Raw genomic sequence first — 27,266 nt, 5'->3', positions numbered from 1 at the left:
TCAGAGCTCCAGGAGGAGTGAATCTGACTACCAGACTCATGCCTTTCTTGTTAATGATTAGTGATATAATTTGGAAACACAAAATCAATAGAATTAAATCTTCTTACATGTGTCATTAAGAAAGGCTTGAGAATAGAACAGAACATATTCACATACACAATCATCAACAAATATAAAATCTGGGTTTTCCTAACCTTTCAAAATCAAGTATTCCATTTCCTACTACAGTCGTTCCTTGGTATGTTTGGGGGATTGGTTCCAGGACCCCCATACACACCAAAATTTGTGCATACTCAAGTTTGAAATTGGCCTTGTGGAACCCATGTATGTGAAAAGTCATCTGTTTGTATATGTGGGTTCTGCATCCCATGAATACTGTATTTTCTCTCTGTCTTTGGTTGAAAAAATCCATATATAAATAGACCCGAGCAGTTCAAACCTGTGTTAATCAAGGGTCAAATGTATCTGACGTAGATAAGCAAGTTCTTCCTCACCGGAAAACTTTTTAAAAATGATTCCTCTCTTCTTAAGTTGAAAGAAGCAGAAATCTGCTATTTTGATTTTTAAATTCTAGGTACTGGAAGCCTGTAGCATACAAGGAAGAACAAGTATGCCATTTTGTCAGCAGCAGAAATAATACACACAGAAAAGACTCAGTGTAATAGGAGTGCTGTGGTGGGGGTGCGATAGGATCGCCAGACAGAGGCAATCTTGCCTGCACTTCCCTCTCTCCTCTTTCCCCAGTGGCTGGTAGAAGAAATGCTTGTAACCACCTGGGGTTCCTGTCCTCCATGCCCACTCTAGCTCTGGGCACAGAGCACATATTATTCTTGCCTACCATTCTTGCACGTTTCTCCAAAACTAAGGGCCCCTCTCACCTGAATTCCTGATACGTCTCTGATAAATAATTGTTCATAGATGAGAGATGCTCATTTTCTCCTTCAAACAGCTTGTTGGAGGCTGCGTGCTGAAGAACCTTGGCCACTGATCCTAAGTTTCTCCTTTGGTCAGAATTTATCTGACCTCCAGCTGTCATGTCGATGATATCAAAGCCATCTGGAGCTACAATGGCTGGATTCATGTACCGATAGTACAGGAGGTTTCCAACAATCTGGAGTGACGCAGAAGTGCATGACCATTTTTAAGAGAGAAAACTCAAGAGTTTTAGTTTTCTTTTTTTTTTTAAAGATATATATTCTCCTACATTTCCCAAGAGAAAGCAGATCATTTTCTGATGTAAATCCTAACAAGGAGTTTAATAAAGGCAATGAATATAATCACACATTATTAATAGCATAATTTGCAAAGTTATTTTTGATGAAAAAATGCTCATTGCCCCCAAAATGCTCTAATGCAAAGAATTTCAATAATGTCTAGGATCTCCAAATTAACCTCAGCTTAATCAATTATCTTGAGAGTCATTAGAAACAGAAGACCTGCAGCTTATTATAAATAATCATACATGGGGAATAATCTTACAAAGTTATATGTTGGTAATTTTGATTCATACCCCCAGGAGAAGCTATGGTGAGATTACCCTTGAAAATCTACCTTTAATAGCTCATCTTCTGTTGCATCGGGGAATTTCTCATGGATCGAATTCTTCAGTACTTTGGCTATATACCTCAATCCATAACTACATATAAAACAGATGACAAAAGAAAATAATGGAAAAAAGGCGGAGTGAGGAAAAAACACACAGCAATTGTTCCAGTCAACTTCAGCTGAGTAGTTTTTCTAAAAATTAAACATAAGATGAGATGGTAATGGAATCACAGGACTTCCACTGATGATAATAACTGAGCTGTGTTTGCTACTGAAGTATTGCCCCTTCTTTAGAGAACAGTCAGGAATTTAAAAGGTAAATGTAGGCAATCTTTTAAAATAGTAAACACAATATAAGGGAAAACTGCTGTCTTCACTACAGGGGCTTATTTTACATCGTATTCCAAGAACGTTCCAGGAAAGAATGTTAAACTTGCTGCAAGTACAACTTACGGCAGTAGATCAAGGGAAGAAATGATAGAATTCAGGACTTTGTCGGTGACCCTTCTCAGGTTCTCAATGGAAGCCTCCAGTTTATTTTTCACTTCTGGGTATGTTAGAGCTTGTTCTGTGGTCACATCATAAGGCAACTTGCTGAAAACACAAAGGCTTTAAATTAACTGGAGGCTTAGGTACAAGCATTAATTTTGCTGCCAAGTTGGTTCTATAGTCAAGCTTTGTATAGTGAATTGGACTTTGCCACTGACTCCAGTAACAAAATGTTTACTAAATGAGGGGAGGCTCCACCTTCACAGAGGGTACCTTCTGCAACTTGGAACAGGAAGGACTTGAGGCCTTCCCTCTGGTCTCTTCTGGCAAGATAAGAGGCAGACCCAGGTAATTTAGACTCAGCTAAATTTCTTTTAATTATAAAAAGCAAATGTTCATTACAGAAAAATAAAATCACATATAATCTAAAACAATACCAGAGAGGACAACCAATTTTCTTTTCTTTTTTTTAAATTAATTATTTTTTATTTTATTATTATTATACTTTAAGTTTTAGGGTACATGTGCACAATGTGCAGGTTAGTTACATATGTATACATGTGCCATGCTGGTGTACTGCACCCATTAACTCGTCATTTAGCATTAGGTATATCTCCTAAAGCTATCCCTCCCCCCTCCCCCAATCCCACAACAGTCCCCAGAGTGTGATGTTCCCCTTCCTGTGTCCATGTGTTCAATTCCCACCTATGAGTGAGAATATGCGGTGTTTGGGACAACCAATTTTCATACCTTAGTGCATAACTGTCCAATCTCCTCTGTGCATGTATGTCTGTGGGCCTCGCATATTGATGGGTGTAATGCAATTTGTGTAATCGACATTCTATACAGATCCTGTGTGGCGTATGTAATGAGCATTCTTTTCCCAGAAAAATGGGTTATTGCACCTAACTCCAACTGGAATATATACCCTGAACATTTTTTTCTGTGCCAACAAATGTATATCTATACCACGATTCCAAATACTTATTCCATTATGTGCTATACAAACATTTATTTAACAAATCCCTCAAAGCTAAATATTTTGACTTTTCCTGACTTTTTATTATTACAAACAGTACTGTAACAACCACCCACATAATTACATAATTCTCTGTGTACACTTTATTTCACAGACATCCTTTTACAGGAAACAAGAAGCTAGGGTTGCTTAAATCTACAACCACCCACCCAGAATAAGCCAATCCAACCTGGATTGTTAAACCTTACACCTTAAAGTTACTTGCCTGGTAACTGTAAAGAAAAGTACGTATTATCAGGTGAAGAGAGAGTCTACACCATCTCTAGGTCTAGGTTTAGAAATACACAAAGAAAATAAACAAGGGAGAGAATTATGGAAGTTGTGGCATTGGGGATCACCTGGCTCTGAAATGTGAAAATACCATTTAGTATCAAGATGTAATTTGCATGGATATGTTAAAGGGAGGTAACATTTTGGATTGATAACTGACTTTGTACAGTTCGCCTAACAAAGTTTAAGAGTATCAATAAATACACATGTAAAAATATCATAAAACATAACAGAAGACCAACACCTTCCTGATTCTATTACCTGGCCTCTCCAGTCTGTGTTTCTAGTTGGTTCACCCAAGCCTTGTACACCTCTACAGGGTTTGTGTTGATAATCAGCGACTTGTCGTCGATGATCTCTTTTACCACTGGAGCCAGGAGTTGGCGCAGGGTGTTCTGTCCCCGGGCACCTCTATTGAAGCTGACGACCATCTTGATGACTGTAGGGTTACCAGTAACTATGTCCTGTACCTGGTCCACTTTTGATCTAAAAAAGCCCAAGACAAAACAAAATGGTTTGCTTCCATGGATACAGATTTTTTTTTTTTTTTTTTTTCCCCGAGACAGTCTTGCTCTGTCACCCAGGCTGGAGTGCAGTGGTGTGATCTTGGTTCACTGCAACCTCCACCTCCCAGGTTCAAGCGATTCTCCTGCCTCAGCTTCCTGAGTAGCTGGGACTACAGGTGTGCACCACCACATGCCCGGGGCTACTTTTTGTATTTTTAGTAGAGACGGGGTTTCACCATGTTGGCCAGGCTGGTCTCGAACTCCTGATCTCAGGTGATCCACCTGCCTTGGCCTCCCAAAGTGCTGGAAATACAGTCCTGAGCCATGGTTCTGGGCCTGGATACAGTTTTAAACAATGTATTCTCCCTCTGGAAGGCAAGGACTTCATGGAATTATACTTTTCTCTATGAAAATCTAAGTTGGTGTGCTTTAAAAACAAGCAATCATTTATAAGGTGTATATTTCTTTTTTTCTTTTTGAGACAGAGTCTCACTCTACTGCCCAGGTTGGAGAGTAGTAGCGCCATCTTGGCTCACTGCAACCTCCTCCTCCAGGGTTCAAGCGATTCTCCTATCTCAGCCTCCTGAGTAGCTCGGATTACAGGCACATGCCACCATGCCCAGCTAATTTTTGTATTTTCAGAGAGATAGAGTTTCACCATGTTGGCCAGGCTGGTCCCAACTTCTGACCTCAAATGATCTACCCGCCTTGGCCTCCCAAAGTGCTGGGATTACAGGCGTGAGCCACTGTTCCCAGTTTATAACGTGTATGTTTCTTAGATGAGCAATTTGAGGATCTGAAAATAAAGTCACAGCCTCAATTTCAATCTAGAAGGCAGGTATGAGCTGAAAATGGACCAGGACTAGCAATACTGGGTGACACGGTACAAGTACCATGCCCCTGTAGTTATCAAATTTCAAAAACAACTTTCTTGATTGAATGAACTGTTTTCACTTTTTCAAATCCCACTCAAAGCTGCAATACAGCTTCTAGCCACGTCAGATGGCTGAGAGAGCTTTTCTTGATTTATGGTTGCTGATTCTTAGGGCCTCTCTCCTCTCTTCCTCCCCTTTCTCTTTTGACCACTTTCTCTCCCTCTTCCACATCCTTCCCCTTTAGAGCTTGACAATGCCTGGTTCTTATCTTACCCAGTCATTCCTTTTTATTTTCTTTGCTGTGCTCCTCTTCCCACCTTTAAATGCTAGTTTTGTTTATTTTATTTTTTGAGACGGAGTCTGGCTCTGTCGCCCAGGCTGGAGTGCAGTGGCGCGATCTCAGCTCACTGCAAGCTCTGCCTCCTGGGTTCACACCATTCTCCCGTCTCAGCCTCCTGAGTAGCTGGGACTACAGGCGCCCGCCACCATGTCTGGCTAATTTTGTTTTTGTATTTTTAGTAGAAATGGGGTTTCACCATGTTAGCCAGTATGTCTTGATCTCCTGACCTCGTGATCCGCCTGTCTTGGCCTCCCAAAGTGCTGGGACTACAGGCGTGAGCCACCGTGCCCGGCCTTTTTGTTTATTTTTTGACTAATTGTAGGTGCTTGTAAGGCGAATGAGGGTGAATCAATGCCCAAACAAAAGAATAACTGGTCTACCAGAGCCCAACCAAAACCCATGTTCTCCCCTCAGACCTCACGTGCATGCACAGCTTCACCCGCCATCTCTCTGGGACCTATCCCCCTGAAGTCAGGAGTTCGAGACCAGCCTGGCCAACATGGTGAAACCTCTTCTCTACTAAAAATACAAAAATTAGCCAGGCGTGGTGGCGGGTACCTGTAGTCCCAGCTACTCAGGAGGCTGAGGCAGAAGAATTGCTTGAACTCAGGAGGCAGAGGTTTCAGTGAGCTGAGATCATGCCATTGCACTCCGGCCTAGGAAGAAGAAGAAAAAAGATTTCACAGATCCCCAAAAAGCAAATAGAGCCTTAACAGCTGGGCCTTTACTCAGAGTCTCCCACTACCTGGCCCTACCCTATCATTCAGGATTCATCTCCTGGTAGTTAGTAATTAAGTCACTTTCTGGCTAGACTAATCTACTTTCCTCCTGGGACCTATGCCCATGCTGTTTCCACCACCATTGTGCCTTATTTCCCTCTTCTATCTCTTCTTATAAAAATTGTAGCTGTTCCTCAAGGTTTTAGGTCAAGCACCTCCTCTTCTATAAAATCTTTACTAGTCAACCTAGTTGGAATCTTTCCTCCTGTCCTCTAACCTGATACATTGTACATGTCCTTCATTTAGACGCGTCCTTCATTTAGTACTTACCACATTCCACTGCATAGCATTCCTATTTCTCACGAATCACATGTCTCGTGGGCTTACAGACACCTGGTGGGCAGAGGTGCCTGGCTCCCGTGCTCCCAAAACCAATAGGAACTGGTATAACTTAAGGTTTCCACAAGTTAGGGAGGCCACCTGAGCTAAGGACATTTCTCATGCTTGTTTCTCAGCCCACTCATTATAGCTACCTATACAATTTTTACATTAACTGAGTCAGAAAATAAATTAGCAAAAGTAGTTTAAGTTCTAGAAAGAAGGGAAGACTATTTAGGCAGAGATTGCACTCTGCATTCCCACCTGTTAATGGCTTTACTACTCAGAATTTTAATTAAGTTAAATGTTTTCACTGACTTTCAATATGCTATTGATTTTCAGTTGTTACAGGCATACAAAATCAAAAGTTAATTTAACACTAGAGAAAGTATCACTGGTGGGAGAAAATGGTACTTGAATATAGCTCTAATAATATAGAAGTATTCTCAAGAAACTTGATATATTTTAATATGTGGGAATAACTTATAAGAATTTAAAAATAATTTTAGTAAATCAAAGACAGCCACCACTAACAAAAGGATTGATTCACTGGTATTTTTACATACATATTTGTATACATACTTTATTTCTTCCTCCAGAGCAGTTTTAAAAAGCTTGAGAAGTAGATATTCTTCTCGCTGATTAGAGGCATAATTATATAGTGTGAAAATAACAGTATCCATAAATTTAGTGGACTTGTTCTGTGGCATCTGGAAAATCAGCTTAGCCAAGTATAAAGGGTTGGTCTAGAAGGAAAGAAGGAAAAAGAAAACAAAAAAATCCCACAAAACAATAAGTTAATATATTATTAAAGCACAAAGCAGTATCTGATTCCCTGCTCTTCAATGACTTAATGTCACTAAAAGCATATAGATGAGTATATAAAATAATTTTTATATGCCAGGTACTCATCTCTATGCTATTAGTATATAGTGTAACTTTCTACTACAGTTTCCTATAGACTGATATTATATAACTTTCTACTTTAGCTTCCTATCATATATTAATATTTTAAAATATTAATATCAAATATTAATTACTTAATATTATTCATATCATACTATAGGAAGCTATAGTAGAAAATTATGATAGGATTTAAATGATACACACTATATGATACACTTAACATATTATATCTACTTTTCACTGTTGACCTTTTTGAACCACATATTAATATTTATTGTAGAGACGCAGAAAACAGGGCGGGTAGCCAGTAGAATCTGGTGTCCAAAGACACTGGCAAAGCTTGGGCATGGTGGCTCACACTTATAATTCCAGCGCTTTGGGAGACAGAGGCAGAAGGATAGCTTGAGCCCAGGAGTTCGAGACAAGCCTGGGCAACATGGACAGACCCTGTCTCTAGAAAAAAGTAAAAATAAATTAGCCGGGTGTGGTGGTGTGCGCATGCAGTCCCTGCTACTCAAGAGGCTGAGGTTGGGAGGATCACTTGAGCCCAGTATTTCAAGGCTGCCGTGAGCTGTGATCATACCACTGTATTCCAGCCTAGACAACACAGACTCTGTATCAAAAAAAAAAAAAAAAAAAAAAAGAAAGTGGACTAAGGGCCCGGCTACATAGACTGGCCTAGAAGGATTGATAGATGAGTAGAAATGCATACTATCTTGTCAGACTGGAAAGAAAAAGAAAAGAATACATTTACAATGTGGAAACAGCAAAATGGCCACAATGTTCTACACAGAGTGAGAAGGGGGAGTGAGGTAGGGAGGCTGAAGAGAGGGGTGAAGGTCAGGACAGTTGATAAGGGAAGTGCCAGAAGACCATGAGCAAAAAACAACAAAGAACTTAAAATGGACGTGGAACCCTGTGGGCTCTGATGAGGATGGACCCATTGGATACAGAACCAGCCTTCATGGTGATGTGGCTTTTCTCCAGCAGCTACACCTACCAGGTAGAAGTTCAAAGAGAACAATAATGTTCAGGTTATAGAGGAAGTATGTACAAAGAGAAATTTAATACTCCTAATCTTCATCTTCTTTCTGACAAGAGAAGAAAATTTTTCCATACTTGAAAACTGGTATTCATCTAATATACTCAAGCAGTTTGGGCAGCTTTTAAGAAGCCTTAAATTCTGGTTTACTTTATCACTTAGGTTTACTTTTAAGTTCATAATGATTGGTTGAAATTTTATAAATAAGCAGCTCAGTACTTTTTCTTGATAGCTCTGTAGTGACTGTTTTTCAATGTGAAGTATATAGGAATTAGGAGAAAGGAAACTTACTCTATAACTAAAGAAAGATGCCTACTCACCATTCCTCCTAAGGTTACCTAAAAATTTTAAATTTAGGTTCATACTGAAGAGACAAACCCCCCAAAAACCTATACTAGCTGACTGCGGCTTTGGTTAAGAATTTTTGCTAGGTCAGGTGTGGTGTCTCATGCCTGCAATCCTAGTGCTTTAGGAGGAGGCTGAGATGGGTGGATCACTTGAGCTCAGGTGTTTGAGATCAGCCTGGGCAACATGGAAAAACCCTGTCTCTACAAAAACCATGAAAAAATTAGCCAGGCATTGTGGCAGGTGTCTGTAGTCCCAGCTACTCAGGAGGCCAAGGTGGGAGGATTGCTTGAGCCCAGGAGATGAAGGCTGCAGTGAGCTGTGGTTGCGCCACTGCACTCCTGCCTGGGTGGGAGAGTGACATCTTGTCTCTACAAAAAAAGAAGTCTTGCTAAAGTGTAACCAACGGGTCGAAGGAATCCAGGCCATTTGCTTTTCTATAATTTCTTTAGTGATATTGGGCTAACGCCTCAAAAGAAGAGAAGGAGAAGAAAAATATATGATTTCAAGAGAGAGTTCACTTGATACAACTGAATGGTTGCACCCTTTGGTTGTACATTTTGGATTGTTTGCGGATCAAGTTTGGTGGAATTATTCTAAACATGCTCCTGCACTTTTTCTTCTTCCCATAAATGTGCCTCCACCTATATAATAAACAATGACTAGATTTTAACTTATGACAAATTCTGTCAAATTGAGAAAACTAAATTCTAAAGAATCTTCAATATGCTTGAAATTTCATGGGTGTAAAAAATGATAAGTGCCTAAGATTAAATTTCAAACTGGTGGTTGACTACTAAATTAGGCAGACCAAAGTCCTTTCCTGTTTAAAGTGAGCCCCCTTTCTTTCTAGGTTTGCTGGCGTGAAACAGTGGGTTCCACAGACAATTCTAAGTACTGTTAACCTTTTCCTTCTGTGCCGCCATGTGGTGGCCACTTGTGTGAAGATGTTCGTATGTTTGAAGATGTTCTCCAATCTCTTATTCCAAGTAGAGAATTTTCAAACCTACCAAAATTAACATCGTGTTTCTCCATGAGGTTAGCCACGCCTCTTATTTATGGTTTGTGTAATGTGCTCTCTATACATCTACTGCCAGTGACATCCTCAAACAAAGATCTAAGCATCTCCAGGCTTTGAAGGAATCCCAGCAGTGGCCCCACTCTGAGAGACATCTGACTCTTACAAGGGAGAACTATGGATCCACCTCTTTGGGGAAACTTTTCCTGCTGAAGAGGATGCTTGTTAATTTCTATTGCTATCATGCAGTTTCCTCTGTGACTAGCTGTATGTGCTAGTAGGGCTGACGGGCTGAATCAATGGTCAAACAAAACAATAAGTGATCCATCAAAGTCCAACCATAACCAGTCAAACTTATCAGTTCTCACCAACACTCAGGAAGCAATGGAAAATTACTATTCATTTAGATCATAGTAATGCCATGAAAATAATACAAGAAAAAAGAAATATTATTTTGAAATCCCAAACCCTCTGGCTCTTCCCCCATAGAAGGGGAGACTGGTTCTGGTAAATATCTGTTTTTCACATACAGTTATTTTAATTTTTTCATGGATGACAGCACCTGTTTTTGTTTTGTTATTATCAGATTTATATTGTTTCTGAAGGTAACCGTAGTATAATACTGTAAAGAGCATGGTCTCTGAAGTCAAACTGCCTGCGTTTCAAAACCCCTGCTTTATCATTTACTGGCTGTGTCTCAGTTTTCTCATCTGTAATGCAGGAATAACAACAGTACTCATTCTCTCACGGCTCCCAGGGTTATGGTAAGAATTAAATGAGATAATGTATGTAAAGCACCAACAACAGCACTTGGTACTTAGTAGATGCTCAAAACATGTATGCTATTATAGCTGAAGCATGACAAAATACTCCCTGTAAGCCACAAACATGTAACATAGTATTACTCCCAAACTCAGAGTGAACGATAAATTGTTCTCACCTGTAAAAGGTAAAACAGCTGCTGATATGTTTCTAGTGTTTTTCTCCTCTCCTTACTCAAACTTTTTATTCCTTGGTTGTCGGTGTTATTCAGTATTTCCATTTCTCCTCCTTTTTTCTTGTTCAGCTTTTTACTATGTGAAATTACATCCTGTAAAAAATTTGATGAGATTACTCCTTTTTAATTCTCATACTCTTTATCTCCTCCCTTCACATATAGGATTGAAACACACGTAATTGGAAATACAGGCATACCTCATTGTATTGTGCATTGCTTTACTGTGCTTCACAGATACCGCATTTTTTTTCTTTGCAAATTGAAGGTTTGTGCAATCCTACATTGAACATGCCTATTGTCACCATTTTTTTCCAATAGCATGTGCTTACTTTGTGTCTCTGTGTCACATTTTGATAATTCTTGCAATATGTAGAACTTTTTCATTATTATACTATCTATTACGGGGCGCTGTTATCAGTGATCTTTTTTTTTTTTTGAAATGGAGTCTCGCTTTGTCACCCAGGCTGGAGTGCAGTGGTGCAACCTCAGCACACTGCAACCTCTGCCTGCCAGGTTCAAGCGATTCCACTGCCTCAGCCTCCTGAGTAGCTGGAACTACAGGCACGCGCCTCCACACCTGGCTAATTTTTGTATTTTTAGTAGAGACGGGGTTTCACCATGTTGGCCAGGCTGGTCTCGATCTCCTGCCCTCTTGATCCACCCGCTTTGGCCTTCCAAAGTGCTGGGATTACAGGCGTAAGCCACCGTGCCCAGCCTATCAGTGATCTTCGATGTTACTATTGTAATTGTTTTGGGGTGCCACAAACCACGCCCATAGAACTTAACCAATAAATGTGTCTGTTCTGACTGCTTCACCAACTTTCCTTTTTCTCTTCTCTTCTTGGGCCCCCTATTTCCTGAGACACAATGATATTGAAATTAGGTTAATTAATAACCATATGATAGCCTCAAAGTATTCAAGTGAAAGTTACACATCTTTCACTTTAAATCAAAAGCTAGAAATTATTAAGCTTAGTGAAGAAGGCATATCAAAAGCTAGGACAGGCGTAATGCTAGGCCTCTTGCACCAAACAGCCAAGTCATGAATGCAAAGAAAAATTTCTTGAGAGAAATTAAAAATGCTACTTCAGTGAACACATGAATGATTAAAAAGACAAAATGGCCTTATTGCTGATATGGAGAAAGTTTGAGTGGAATGGATAGAAGATTAAACCAGCACAATATTCCTTTAAGCCTAAGCCTAATCCAAAGCAAGGCCCTAACTTTCTTCAATTCTATGAGGCCTTAAGAGAAGCCAGGAAACTTCGGAAGAAAAGTTGGAAGCGGGCCAAGTGTGGTGGCTCATGCCTGTGATCTCAGCACTTTGGGAGGCCAACATGGGAGGATGGCTTGAGGCCAGGAGTTTGAGATCAACCTGGGCAACAGAGCAAGACCCCATCTCTACAAATTTTAAAAATAAGCCAGGTGTGGTGGCTCATGCCTGTGGTACTGGCAACTCAGAAGTCTGGGACCCGCAGTAAGAAATACATTTTCCATCTTTTATTAGTGAACACACATACACCCTCTCTCTCACTAATGGTACATGCTGATATTTTCTATTTGCTTTTATTCTATTCCACTTTTAAAGGTTGCTCATTGTGACACACTAAATTGATTTCATGACCCTAATGGCATGCGACTCATATTTGAAAGTCGCTGTTCTAGAACACCTCCCCTGCCACTTAACATTAGTTCACTGTCCCAGAGTAAGTGGCAAGAAAGTTGCTTTTCCTAAAACTTTTTTCAGATTTTTGACTGAGCTCTTAGCTGGACCTCCACGTGAGGACTCTATTTGCACATCAGGAATGCTGGCCCAGTGTCCTTAGAGGGGCACTATGGGCAGTGTGGACAACAGTGTTTTGCTCTGCATGCACTACCAGCGTCTATCACCCTGGCCACTTCCCACCACCGGCTATCAGCAGGGGCCCCTAGTCATTTTCACAAGCGGACATGGGCCCGCCCCCATTTCCAGTTGCCCCTGGGGATGAGAACCACCGTCAGGTCTTGCCTAAATGGCAAGCTCTAAATCTGTTTACTTCCTGGCACCCCATTCTCCCATAGCTGGGGTCAGCCCATTGAGCAGCTGGGGTCCAGAGCTCTAGGAAGCTCTGGAGTAAGACAGTTCCATGTGGCTACATCTGTTGCCTTCCAGGTCCATGATTTTATTCTTTCTCATTCTCAATTCAGAGAGAGGCAGCCTTGACTTACCCACTTACTTCTGTCACCCCAATTGCTTTTATAGAGAAGGAGGGAGGGGAGTTGATTTACATTCCGATAACATTTTTAAAAAAGCAACATTTCCCCCTTGTTTTACCAATATATAAAATGTCTTCAGTACAAAGAAAGGAAGTGCAGTTACCACCAGATAGAGGTCAAGGGGGAATCTAGGCAGGCGGCTGTCTGATAATCCTTATCTATAAGAAGTCCTAAGACATCACTAGAATAAATGTGGCTTACAGTGCCAGTTAATCCACATTTTTCCTCTTCAGATAGCTGGCGACATGTATGTAAATCGTTCAACTCCCTCAAATACACAGAATAAATCTATCACCTTGATTTTAAATATACGACAGGAAAGTCTTGTTACCTATAATTCCCCCCTTTTCCCTCCCAAGTGTTTTCAGTGGAGGTCACTCTAGAAACTGGGGGCTTTTTGTTTTGTTGCAGACTTCATCTTCTGGTTAATGGTTTTTGCCATATACAGATGAGAGGGTAGGGGTGGTGAGCAAGATCTGGGGCAGATCTAAATTCCTCTGCATTAGAAACAGAGAGAGTTGGTGAAGGCAGGATAATGAGAGGAATGGAGGGAGGGAAGCAACGGAGGCAATGCTGAACCCAGAAAGGGGAAGAGAGAGGACGGGCCGGTGGCTGTGCTGATGGAACAGCACCTGTCTGCTGGAGCTCCAAGGACAGAGCCCGGCACAGCAATGGGGATAGCCCCTCTTCCTTCTCCCTGTGAGGTTCTGACTTGCTCCAGAATGTGCTTGTGTGAATGGAGGTTTGCTTTGGGAAGCTTGAAGATGGACACAAGAGCCAACCCAGACAAGGATAACAAACAGGGGCAGATACTTTTTATTCATCAAAACTCACTTTTCCTGATTCTTAATAAATATTGAACATTGGAGGAATACCATGGTTTGAAAGAGCAACCGTATTTGGCTTGTTCATGATAGTCCCCCATCTCAGTATTGCCCTTTTGCCACCACCTTTCCCCTTGCTCTGATAAAGGGATATCTGCATGCAGGTAGTATGCTATGATATAAACGTTTTTGTAGAAAGTGTGGGCTAGTATGAAGGGCTTGGGCTTGGGCTTTGGAGTCATAAAAGATATGGGTATCTGCAGAGTATAATTAGCTTGGTAAACCTACACAGGTTAACCTAAGCTTCAGTTTCCTCATCTGTAGAGTGAGTGTAATAACAGCAATTTTACTGAGTTGCTGTGAAGATTAAAAATATATGTAAATCACCTAGAACATTTTCCAGGGAAGAAAACACACTCAGAGAGAGGTTAAGAAACATGCTCAAGGCCACATGTTAATATAAGCAGTGAAGTAGTATAATTAAGTATTAATAGTTAAAAATCTCAGTCCTGAGTTTCAGGTAGTACTGGCCTGCAAATCTGGGCTCCTAGATGATACATCATACTCATGAATGGGAATTTTAGCACTAGTTTTAGATTAGCTTCAGTCTCTTAATTTAGGCTTTCCTTCCAGCTAGGCTGACCTATACTTTTTTATTTTTTATTTTTTGGCTCCTGTGCCTCCAGGAAACCTCTTATTTCAGTTGCTCTGTCTTCTTTCTCCAAACCATTCTTTTTGCCTAAAACCAATGTTAGCCACTTCACTGACCTACAGATTTTGAGGATTTTAGGAGGAATGCTGATTTAAAAGAACTATAAAAAATGTTAAGGTTACTAGCAAGAGCTAGCATTGTTCTATAAGAACAAAGCCATTTCCCTTTACAATCTCTCTTTTCCTCACTAAACACACACTCATTGTTAAAAATAAAAAGGTGTGGGGAGGAGGGGGAGAAGATAAACTTAACTATCACCCAAAGAAAAATCACTTAACTTCTTTCTTCTTCTGGATTATTATTTTTTGATAATAAAAGAAATCATACTACCTTAGGCACTATTTTCTCCTCTACTATATCGCAAACCTTTCCTCCTGCTTTAAAATAGTCTAAAAACCATCATTTTTAGTGGCTATACAACATCCATATTAAACTAATTCTATCGCCCTCTGCATATTGCTTTGGGCTTCAGGTCGTTTCCCACTTTTTCACTACTATAAATAAAGCTTCAATTGCTCTGTTCTTGTATCACTACTAATATTCTGTCAATGACAAGGCTAACAGCTACATATTTAATAATCATTAATTTAACCGCTAAAAAATGCTGGATACATATCTGGTGTTTGCAAATATGTTGAAAAACTTCACAATGTTATCTATTAGTGATAAGTGGCTTTAAAAAACCCCCACAAAACCTCAAGCATTCATAAAAATCTGATAACTTGCCATGATTGTGTTTCCAAAAGATACATATTATTTAAACTATGTACTGATTTGCAACTAAGCCTTTATTTTAAAAGGCAAGACATTTCCTGTTTATGATTTTATGGGGATAGCGTGAAACAGCAGTTTAAGGCTATAAAAAGCATTCTCTGAAAATCCTTCTGGAATATATTACACTTTAAAAGTTCTCATGGATGTCAAACAATACAAATAACATTGTTTTTTAAAAAGTACTGTTGTTTTTCTGGATAAAATAATAAAAGTAGAGTTAAATGTAGAACATTTAAACTGTAGTTTTATTCCTGAATATTTAGAAGAGATGATTATTTCTGTTTATAAAATGCTGTTTTTCTTATTTTCTCCTCCACAATTGCCCTGGTGTCTTTATGAGGTCTGGAGGACCAGCCTGGGGCATTCACATGCCCATGTAACTGGCAGCCTCCTGTGGCTGCTCATCTCCCCGTTGTCCAGAACGTTCGCTTGGTTGCTGGCCGCTGGCGCTCTATGAGCCACTGTAGCCTTCTCAGAGCTTCCAGAAGATCAGTTTCCCTCTTTGACCTATCAGTTTTCTGAAAACTGATGTGGCACATAGGAAGGGAACAGGGACAGGGAGAGTGGTCTTAGGCATCTGTTCTTGGGTAAAAATGACACTTTTTATACTTTTTTTTTTTTGAGCCCTGATGTTGGCAGGTTTCACACAGATGTGAAACCACACCGTAATTTATTTAGAAGTTATCAATGGGGGCATAACGGGGGCAGTGTGTCTTTGTAGGGAGTCACATTTTGGAAATACGTAGGGGTGTTTTTTAATATCTTAACAATTGAAGGGCACTCTTGGTTTCTAGTGAGCAGGGATTGGGGATGAGAGGTGCTCTGTGATCTGGCAATTTGTGGGATGGTCTTGTGTAAATAATTGCCCTCACCTTGCATGACAGAACTTTTGAATGTCTTACTGGTCATTTACGTGGGTCAAGATTCTGTTTGTAATTATCTGAGCCTAGAATCTAATTGTTTTATGTAGATGCATAATACATTTTCCCCACACAAAAGCTAGGATTTTCTAGAATTGCAACTGCTATGTAAATTGGGTGGAGACTACACTTGGCTAATGTTGAACTTTACAAATAGTTGTTCTCCATTTTGGAAAATGAGTTCCTGCCTCATTTGCCACTGAAGCCCTCATAATCTGTAGCTGTTCTGTGAAGAGGTCTACACCTCTGGTAACTGTATCATGTCTTCCAGTGTCATCAGGCATATACATTTTCTCAATAAAATGTGTGCTTTTATTATTAATTACTCTTTAAATATCTCTTTTGTATTCATATAAAGGCCCTAGTCTTATTCTGAAGGTATATACATCAGTACATTTTATCATATAGATTTCATTTCAGAATGATAAAGAAGCCTTACAAAATGTTATAAATGGGCGGGCTTAAAATTTTACAGACGAAGAACCACTAATTTATAATAAAAACGATAAAAACTTATCTTAGATTCCAAATGAACTTAGCTAGACCAAAGTGTCATGAACATATATAACCACAAACAACATAATGTTTCAGTCAACAGTGGACCTCATATAAGACATAAGTCCTATAAGATTATAGTACTATATTTTTACTGTATTTTTTCTATGTTGAGCTATGTTTAGATACACAAATACTTACAATTGTGTTACAATTGCCTGCAGTATTCAGTACAGTCACAAGCTGTACAGGTGTGTAGCCTAGGAGCAGTAGGCTTTTTTACCATATAGCCTAGATGTGTAGTAGACTCCACCATCTATGTTTAGGTAAGTGCTCTATGATGTTTGCATCAGGATGAAATCACCTAATGCTACATTTCTGAGAATGTATCCCTGTCATTAAGTGACTCTTGACTGTATGTAGGCGTCTTCCCTCTTCTGGGAGCTGACAGTCCCAAAAACCCCACTGACCTCTAGTGTGATCCTGTTCTTCACCAGCAGTCCAATCTTGATGTCCATCAGGTTCAGGTCTTTTTCCAGCTGTTGATTGGCCCTGATCTTGGTCACTACTTCTTCCCTTAATCGTGCAACCTCTAGTTCCTCCTGGAAATCCAAATCACTTTGGTCCAGCAGGTATACAAATTTGCGAATTACTGTTAATGGTGGGTTTTCAGAGCCAACTGCAGTGACAGGAACAGGTATACTTTAATTAGGAAAGCTTGGAATGATTATCAACAGGAAAGAAACAAGGTCTTAAATAATTACTAGAAAAATATACCAATGAAAGTACTTGGTCTAGGGTGAGAATCATTCTACCCACCCCCACACAATTTAAAATCTGGACAAGGAAACTGATCAATAAATAAACGCACAAAACAGATATCTGGCCCCACTCTTTTCTAGTTATCAACTCCCCTTTTATCCCTTTTATCAGCTCTCTCTCACACTGTTCCCTGGACTCATGCGCTAAGAAGATAGTCCTATCTGTGCCTCATTCCTCAGGAACCTGGGAAAGAAAGTTAACATAAGTTACCTCGACCCTGAGACCTTGTGCTTGAGCTAGATAAGTGACTTACATTCTTGCTGCAGGAAGCAGAAAGTGGTTTCTCCCAGCCCAAAGGATCTTTGGGAAGGAGCCGGAAGTAGGTGAAAGCTGAATTAGAAAAGGGCCAGGAAGGGAGGACTGTAAAAGCCAAACAGGAACCAACAGAATGATAAGTAAAACGAATGTTCTACTTAGCTGAAATAAAAAGATTTTAGAAATTGAAACTTGGCCCTTGTCCTTTGAGCACCGGCCAAGGGAGGGTGCTCAGAATCTAGGGGTCAGCCCCTGTTATTGAGAGGGACATTCTCACATAAATTCTAAAAGGGTTTTCCCCTTAGTACCTGGAACTTTAGGCTTTAATTTCCTGGCACTCTGACTCTTGGAAAAATATTTTTAACATGCTTAGGGAGATCAGATCTGGGTAAACTGTAAGAATAAATTGTCTGGTCCATTGAGGACGAATGATTAGACCCAGTAATAGAAAGATGACTTGGAAGAGCTAGTCCAGCCATGGCCATCTCATTAGTTGCCCTCCTTTACACCTAGGCCCTTGACAGTCTTCCTTTTACTTCCACCTTAGTTCTGTGGTGTTTTGACACTAAAGGAGTAAGAAAACTAACACCAAAACAACTGCATAAACCACAAACAACTGCATAAATGGCCTTTATTGGAGAATTTTCCTTGGATCATGGGACCCTTTATTTCCTGACCACTGAAGCACATCAATTTATTTTCCTTCTATTTCCAGCAAAGATGCTGCCACTGACATGACCACTTCAGGGAAGGCCTTAGCAATGCACCACCGCTCATCCATGCAGCCAAGTTAGGGGAACATGAGCCCTCCCACTGTGGCCAGAGTTGATGGCTGCCTCTCCCACCCACTAAGGGTTGTGTCTCTTCATATGTATTAACAGTCCCATCGGAAAAAACTAAATTAGTATTTTAGCTTTACTAATTGTTATGGCTCGAATTTAATATTTCCTCTATCAATACTAGGCTTTTTGCCATCTTCATCTGAGAATGACTTTGTGGTACAGGTATTTTAATTTCAGGAAATCAGACCACTTTATAGTCTGCTCCTACAACTGACCACATCTTAGTTTCAGCATCTTTCAAGCTGGAATGCGTTCAGTGACATTCCAGAATAAAAGGGGGAGAACAGATGATAACAAACTTAGAAAAGTTATTTTTTTTTTTAAATTAGAAAATCCCAAAGCCTTAGTTTTCTAAAGATGCTGAACTAAGAAAGAAATGAAAATTTATGTTTTGGTTACCATAAAAGCACCCAATTTGCTGAAGCCCAGAGAAGCTTAGATCTAACTCACTCACCGAGATGGTTTCTCTATTTACCTTTTATGCCCCAATATAAAGTTGCCTAGATTTTAAAATTGGAATTTGTCTTTGTAATAAAAAAGTAAACAAACAAAAAACATCACTATAACTGCTTAAAAAAAAACACTTTACCTGAATAAAATGAAAACTAGCCTGTGTTCATTTGGAAAATTTATTTTGAAGTCATCTTTCATATATAAAAGCAACAGCAAACATATTTTAGTGTTAGGGCTCAGAAAAAAAAATCCTCTTTAGCCTTCTTTAAAAAAAAAACCAAAAACGGCTGGGCGCAGTGGCTCATGCCTGTAATCCCAGCATTTTGGGAGGCCGAGGCGGGCGGACCACAAGGTCAGGAGATTAAGACCATCCTGGCTAACACGGTGAAACCCCATCTCTACTAAAAATACAAAAAATTAGCTGGGTGCGGTGGTGGGCGCCTGTAGTCCCAGCTACTTGGAAGGCTGAGGCAGGAGATAGCGCCACTGCAGTCCTGCCTGGGCGAAAGAGCGAGACTCCGTCTCAAGAAAAAAAAAAAACAAAAAACAAAAAACAAACAAAAAAAACCAACAAAAAACCCCAAAAACAACAACATATCTACCAGCTGAGAGGTGAGCTGGAATCTAGTGGAATGAGACATTATTCAGTAGATTCTGCAGGCTGGAGGCAGAGTGAGGACTTCAAGCGTCCCTAGATTTTCCTTAACAAGTACCAGGGAAGATCTTTCTTGAGCCATATACTTCATCCCTTAATTCAGACAAACTTTAGACAATAAAAGGTGCTGGCTAAACTTACTAGGCACTGTAAGTACTAGTAAATTTATCATCAAGCTCTCCTTGACTGTGCATGTTCCCGTGATAATTAGAATGTTAAAAATTTAGTATATAAAGAATCAACTTATGATCTGTAAAAAACCAAAATAACAAACATAGGCAAAGTTGGGACTGTAAGGAGATAGCACAAAATGTGATTGTTATTTTTGGGTGAATTTTATTTTGCTATTTTCAAACTTTCTACAAATTTTTATTAAAAAATTTAATCTGTAATCCCAGCACTTTGGGAGGCCAAGGCAGGTGAATCATGAGGTCAGGGGTTCAAGACCAGCCTGGCACACATGGTGAAACCCCGGCTGTACTGAAAATACAAAATATTAGCTGGGTGTGGTGGCTGGTGCCTGTAACCCCAGCTACTCGGAAGGCTGAGGCAGGAGAATTGCTTGAACTGGGGAGGTGGAGGTTGCAGTGAGCCAAGATTGCGCCACTGCATTCCAGCCTGGGCGACAGTGTGAGACTCTGTCTCAAAACAAAAACAAACAAAAATTAAAAATTATTCTGTGAAAAGTTCAAAATGAAATTGTAGGAAGATATTTGCAGTTGTCATTTTTGGGAGATGAGACTATGTCTAACAAATTAAACAATTTAAATATAAGGTTATTTTCTGGCTAACTCTTTTGCATTAGATTTTTGACTCTCGCTTAGATTGAAAAAAAAAAATCAGCATTTATGCCAACTCCACTCTCTTTGAAGAAGAAATTATACCATGTGGCTGATCCCTTCCATTTAATAGGAAGGCCCATTTCCTTTCACCATGTGCTCCTCTGTGTACTGGTTTAGAACCTGGGGCCTGAGATGATCAAAATCTACTGGAAACAATGGGTATCCTCTGTTCTTAGAGCAGCCTCTGAAGTGACCAATATGGACCAATATGTCCTTGCCTGGTTTATAAAAAATCCTTGCTTTGTTTCAGAAAGCTCTCACTTACCCAATGTTTTGTAGTCATCTCTAGCTTTGTTCGCTCTCAACAGTGACTGTATTTTCACAATTTCATTATTCTGCAAAAGATTAAGACAAGTCTTGATCTCCCAGAGTCCCACCTACTCCATCATTTTTGAATTTAGAACATTTAAGAACTGTCAGTATTTAAGAACTGACACTACTTAGAACTGACAGTATTTCAATGTGGTGTATTCAACATTTATTTTTCCATTTTCTTTGAAGAAGAGGTCAGATAAGTCAGCTAAAAGTACAAACAAGACTGTAGGGGAACTGCCTAGACAAAGAGATCTAAAAAGGGAAAATAATTTTAGCACACAACTTAGATGATCCAATCTATGTTCCCATATCTCTTCTTTAAATATTCAGGAAGAAATCCCTCCCAGGGGCTTCTATTTAAAGTAAGCAGTTAACAGTTGAAAAAACTACATATGTAATGCTGTAAAATATTTCTCTAGAGTCTTCTCTTTGGTGTTACTAGCCCACAGTTTTCCCCTCACCCATTTTCTATCGAGTCCTGACTGGTGAAGTCTAACTCTCAACATGATTTCTGAATGAAAACAGTAAGCCTCCAAATATTATCATATGAAGTTCTAAGATCCATTATTTCTTAAGTGTTCATGTTCACCATTCAATAAAAATCATTCAATGCTAACTTTCAATAAAGCATTCATTTAGGTCATTATCAACCTGGATAAAATCCCACAGGCATTTTTCTTACATGATCTCTGAAATACTGTAGTCTTGAAAGATAGCTCTTTCTTGCAGTTGCCATTCGGAACCAGGACTGAATCTGAAAGGTTTTAAAAAATAGAAAAGTACAACAAAAAATAAAGAGAAAAGTCAAAGTAATCACCAAACAACCCGTAATACGGTTTTGTGTAGTTTTTCTAAAAACAATGATACTTGATAAAGAAAAAAAGCAGCCCACTGAATAATCAATCTCTAAAGCCTACTCTTCATCTTTCACTGAGGTTTCTTAAGGGGTTCAAAACGCTTTACATGTTACTCTAAATTTCACCACCTTAATAAGAGAGAAGTGGGGAAAATAATTTAACTTTGTACTATTTTACCTTAAACTCAGTAAATAAAAGCCAGAAGGGTGAAGCGTTTTGCTGAGAGTTGCAATGAGTCAGGAAATCAAGTAAACTAAGTCTAGGGTTTCTTCTAACATCCCTTTAAATGCATCCAATATCCTTTAAGTTTTTACAGGAAAACATCGAAGAGGTCTCATGAGGGACCAATTGCTACCAATGGTTTTTGACAGAATAGGCATATGTTCCATAGGATGCTATTTCATCAAGGAGCTACTGCACAATGGATCTGGGTCACATTATTCTCTGTCTTCACAGTTTAAAACGTTTTTTAAATTTGTTTTTATTTATTATTATTTTTTAAAATACAAATGAGGTCCCCCTATGTTACCCAGGCTGGTCTTGAACTCCTGGGCTCAAGCTATCCTCCCACCTTGGCCTCCCAAAGTGCTGAGATTACAGGTTTGAGCCACTAAGCCTGGCCTGAAAGATCTTTAAACTAATCTGATTCTACTTTCCAGTTCCATTGCTTCCACTCTCATCTGGATTTCCAAGCTGGAGACTTGTAGATCTCCAAGTTGTAGATTTCCAAGTTGATTTTTGTCCAGTCCTCTGGCTTTCAGATCCATGAGAGTGGACATCACAGTACCCTTTCTTTCTCACCCAGAGCTATTCACCTGGGTTCGACTAATTCAGCTCCCAAATATAGGCCCTAAATTAGCTCTACTTCCTCTTATCATGGGTTTTGTTCTGTTATGTCTGAGCATTCTAAATATGCTTAAGCAAATGTGGAAAGAGAAACATGAAAAAAAGCTGGGTTCTACCTAAAGTCTAAATAATCAACTTGAACTTTCTAGACAAAGAACATTTATTGGTTATAGAACACTTTCACTTGTGATTCTCATAACCACTCATAAAGGACTTGAGGTTTTATACCGGTTTAACCAACCTGCTTGAAAAATGATTAGGTAAATGAGCAGCAGAACTGGGATTCAAATCCAGTACTGCCTTCTGACTTCAAGGCTCACATGTACCCTCCCTTTCTATAGCTGTCTTTCAGATTAAACATGAAATGAGGGGAAACGTTTAAGCCAAGCACTTGGTATGGTAGGAAAGGGTATTTACCTTCACAATAGAATCAGTATTATCAATGAACGTTTGCCGCCTGTGCATATACTCCTTCCGTTGTTTATATCCTTTCCAAAAAGCCTAAGGAAAAGAGTGGGTTATAGAATTATTTACCAGCAAGTTTCCCAATTTATCTAGGAAGTGCAAGAGCAGAGCACATCTCAGGCCGCATGGAGCTGGGACACTGTCAGGCACCCTCCCTTCAGATCTCATCTGGACACCCTCTCTGGGGGTAGCCAGTTAAACACAGCAGAGCACATCAGCTCACAGCTGAGACTAGTTCTAAGCTTAGGACAGCAGAGTAAGGGTGATAAATTACATGGAGAAGCACAGTTCCTGCTGGAAAGCTTAACTTTACCAAGGCCCTGGGTGGCAAAAAGGAGTAAAATGGAATTTCTCCAAAACCCATAAACAGTATTAACTAGGTGCTAGTGGTATTTGATAACAACAAAAAATGCTTGAAAATAATGCCTAATATTAAGTATCTTTACCACAACACGTGGCCCACTGTGGCCCCGACTGGAAAGGAGGATGCTCTACCAACTTGTGGCCCTGAATCCCTTGGATCCCTGAAAACACTGGTGCTGCAACTGACCATCATTTCATATATCCCCACATAAAGTTAAACAATGCTTCATCAACATAGCTTTACCTGATTATCACCATTAAGAATAATTTTTACAGGAAACTCTTTACAAAAACTGGACACAAACTAGTATCTTTAGAAGAAGTAAATTCATAACTGTTACAGTTTATTCCAATTCATTTATGAGCATCTTTTTATTGAAACATCTTTGTAACTCACCCCAATTCTGATACTGTTTTTCAAATTAGAAAGGAAGTAAAAGTTCCTTGTTAAAAAGGGCAAATATAAAAAATCAAATTTTTTTATAAACTTCTTTTCATGTCTGTATATATTTACCTCATTCTTTTTAAAAAGGGTAAATGAAATTTTGTTATTTCAAAAAAATAATATTTTTGTAATGAGTCAAAACAATTTAGTCAGGATGGAATCAAAATGACGAACTGGGCACTTGCTCCAGACTTCCCCTCAGTCCAAGTCCCTAGAAGGCATAAATATGTTTAAAAAAAAAAACCTTTTAATTTGGAAAGAATCATCGACTCACAGGAAGGACAAAAGATTATACAATGAGTTCCGTGTACCCCTTTACACAGCTTCCCCCAATGGTAACATCATACAAATATACTTTTATTTTCTTATTATTTTTTGAGACAGGGTCTCATTTTGTCCCAGGCTACAGTGCAGTGGCTCAATCATGGCTCACTGCAGCCTCCACCTCCTGGGCTCAACTGATCCTCCTGCCTCAGACTCCTGAATAGCTGGGACTACAGGTGTGCACCACCATGCCTGACTGATTTTTCTATTTTTCAGAGAGACTAAGTTTCACTATGTTGCCCAGGCTGGTCTTGAATTCCTGGACTCAAGCAATCCACCCTACCTTGGCCTCCCAAAGTGTTGGGATTACAGGTGTTAGCCATGCCTGGCCCAAACATACTTTTAAAGCAATCCATAATAGTGCTAGAAAATAAGAAGGCATAGAGATAAAAATTATGAGGGTTCCTAGAAAACAGAAAGCAACTAGAACTGAACTGAAAGAGGAAGAGGCAGAGCAAATTTCCATAAAAAATGTCAAAACTTTTTTTTATGGCTTTAAGCTTGAGGTAGTCAGAGTAATTTTGGGAAAATTCTTGCCTTATCCATATGTCAATCGGTGGACAAAGAAAGCATAGATGGTGAAGTGTGAGCTCGAGGAAACTACAAAAGGGTATAGTTTTGGGGAGGGAATTTAGCAGTATCAAATTTAAAATTATTTAGCCTTTCACCTAGTATTTCTAATTTTCAATATATCTAGCCCAGGAAAATTAAAGCACCTGTGTAGAAAAGCCCCATATATAAGTATTTTTGTCACAGCATTGTTTGTAATACCAAAATTGTGCATCCAGTAAAATGTTCACTAATAGGGGGAACAGCTAGAGACACTGCAATTGCAGTCCCACTGAGGGATGTTACACATCAGTTAAGAGTAAAGTAAGGGAGCGGGGAGGGATAGCATTAGGAGAAATACCTAATGTAAATGACGAGTTAGTGGGCGCAGCAAACCAACATGGCACATGTATACATATGTAACAAACCTGCACGTTGTGCACATGTACCCTAGAACTTAAAGTATATATATAAAAAAAGAGTAAAGTAAGGTCATATATACTGACTATGGCAATGCTCTGTATTTTGGAGAACAGGAAGACCTCTAAGATATATTGCTAATATGAAAAGGAAATTTTAGCTTACCACACATATTATGATACCACATGTTAACAAAAAACCCACAGAATAATTCTATATATTTCTATGCAAACAATCTGTACCTCAATATCTAGAATATCTATTAAAATACACAGTGAACAAAGAGAAAGGGTATACATACCTGTGTACCTATCTCTACTTCCACCTAGCTACTTTATAAAGGCAACTACTATTTAACATTTTATTATGTATCTTCTGAAATACGCACATGTGTAAACACACATACCCCATCATTGTACACACAAATACAAATACAAACTTATATAAAGATGTGAACTGGACATGATGGCTCATGCCTTAATATGGTTTGGATTTGCATCCCCACCCAAATCTCATGTTGAACTGAAATCCCCAATGCTTTAGACCTTCACAGCAGCCCCTGCCATCACAGGCTGGGAAGCCTAGGAGGGCAGAATGGTTTTGTGGGCCCAGGGCCTTGATGCACTGCACAGCCTTGGGACAGTAATCCCTGCATCCCAGCCGCTCCAGATCTAACCATGGCTAAAAGGGGCTCAGGTACAGCTAAGGCTGCTGCTTCAGAGGGTGCAAGCTGTAAGCCTTAGTGCCTTCCATGTCATGTTAAGCCTGTGGGTGCATAGAATGCAAAAGTCGAGGTTTGGGAGCCTCTGCCTAGATTTCAAAGAATGTTTGGAAAAGCCTGGGTGTCCAGGCAGAAGCCTGCTGCAGGAGCAGAACTGTCATGAAGAATCTCTGCTAGGGCAGTATGGAGGAGAAGTGTGGGGTTGGAGCTCCTACACAGAGTCCCCACTGGGGCATTGCCTAGTGGAGCTGTGAGCAGATGGCCACTGTCCTCCAGACCCCAGAATGGTAGATCCATCGACAGCTTGTACCACGTGCCTGGAAAAGCCACAGACACTGAACGCCATCCCTTGAGAGAAACCACAGAGAATGAAGCAGGCTTCATTCAGAGCCACAACAGCACTTCAACTGTCAACTTTAAAAACTCAAGAGTAGAAAAATGTATTTATTCATATTTTTATTCTTCTAGCTATCCTTTCTTCCCTTCTGATGTTCCGAAATTTCTTCTTTCTTCATTTCCTTTTGGTTTAGAGAGCTATCTGTAGTCATTCTTTGAGGGAAGTTTGCTGGTAACAAGTGCTCTTAGTTTCTCCTTCATTCCTAAAGGTTATTTTTGCTGGATATAAAATTCTATGTTGACAGTTATTTTCTCTCCAGGTTCTACAAGTGTCTGGGTGCCTTGTTACAGGAGGGTGGAAGTCTAGACTCCTCATTCAGCCTTTGATTCCCCCGAAAAATGTTGTACTTCCTTCTGGCCTCCTTAGGTTATGAAAAATCCTCTGTCATTAGAACTGTCTCCCTCTTACAGGTAAGTTGTTTCTATCTCACTGCTTTTCCAAATATTTTCTTTGTCTTTTGTTTTCAGAAGTTTGACTATGATATGTCTTTGTGTGAATTTCTTTCACTTTATCCTGTCTGAGGTTTCCTCAGCTTCTTGAATCTGTGTTTTTGGAACATTTCCACTTTTATTTCAAGTACTTTGTCAGTACTGCCTCTTTCTCCTCTCCTCTGGGAATCCGATGACACAAATGTCAAATCTTCTGTTATAATCCCACTGATCCCTGAGGCTCTGTTCTTTATTTCTTTCAGTCTGCTTTTTCTTTGTTGTTCAGATCTGGGAATTTCTGTTGTTATAGTCTCTAGTGCACTGATTCATTCCTCTGTCCTTCCATTCTGCTGCAAAGACTATTCATTGGGTTTCCACATCTGTTACTGTATTTTTCAGTTCTAAAAGTTACTGTGTGGTTTATAAACCTTTTAATTCTTTGCTGAGGCTTTAGTTTTTTTCCTGAGATGTTCTTTCTTTTGCTTCAAATGTTAGTAATTGCTAATTGCTTATTTTAACATTTTTATGATAGCTGCTTTAAAAATCCTTGTCAGATAATTCTAACATCCGTCATTTCTGTGTGGGCACCTAGGAATTGTTATTTTAAACTTAAGTTGTGATTTTCTTGGTTCTTGACATAAGTGATTGTTGTGATTGCAATATCCAAACAGTCAAGTGATTGAACCTTAGGTAATGTCGGTAGTTTGGGGTCCTGGATCTTATTTAATCCTACTGTTTTAGGTGGCTTTTCCTGACATTGTTTTGGCAAGGAAAAAGTGGGGGCACTGCCTCATTACTAGGAGGTGGGAGGAGAAGG

At 39.6% G+C, this 27,266-nt stretch overlaps 1 protein-coding gene across 12 annotated transcripts in view; it reads right to left on the bottom strand.

The window, feature by feature from the left end:
- The window catches only part of IQGAP2 (IQ motif containing GTPase activating protein 2), a 304,848-nt gene that overhangs the window by 32,545 nt on the left and 245,037 nt on the right, over positions 1 to 27,266 (bottom strand). For all 12 annotated transcript variants that reach the window (NM_006633.5, XM_017008960.2, XM_047416641.1 and 9 more), the window contains 10 exons: positions 22,755 to 22,838; positions 21,317 to 21,388; positions 20,585 to 20,654; positions 16,921 to 17,129; positions 10,413 to 10,562; positions 6,744 to 6,907; positions 3,605 to 3,829; positions 1,999 to 2,139; positions 1,552 to 1,636; positions 879 to 1,111 (listed from right to left, as the gene is read on the bottom strand). In NM_006633.5, the coding sequence (NP_006624.3) occupies positions 879 to 1,111; positions 1,552 to 1,636; positions 1,999 to 2,139; positions 3,605 to 3,829; positions 6,744 to 6,907; positions 10,413 to 10,562; positions 16,921 to 17,129; positions 20,585 to 20,654; positions 21,317 to 21,388; positions 22,755 to 22,838 (1,433 nt within the window). The remainder of the gene's footprint in view (positions 1 to 878; positions 1,112 to 1,551; positions 1,637 to 1,998; positions 2,140 to 3,604; positions 3,830 to 6,743; positions 6,908 to 10,412; positions 10,563 to 16,920; positions 17,130 to 20,584; positions 20,655 to 21,316; positions 21,389 to 22,754; positions 22,839 to 27,266) is intronic.

The sequence above is a fragment of the Homo sapiens genome, chromosome 5 (genome assembly GCF_000001405.40).
Source record: "Homo sapiens chromosome 5, GRCh38.p14 Primary Assembly".
Taxonomy (NCBI): Eukaryota; Metazoa; Chordata; class Mammalia; order Primates; family Hominidae; genus Homo; species Homo sapiens.
Note: the sequence above shows the minus strand (reverse complement) of the source record. Positions and strands in the feature narration are given on the sequence as shown.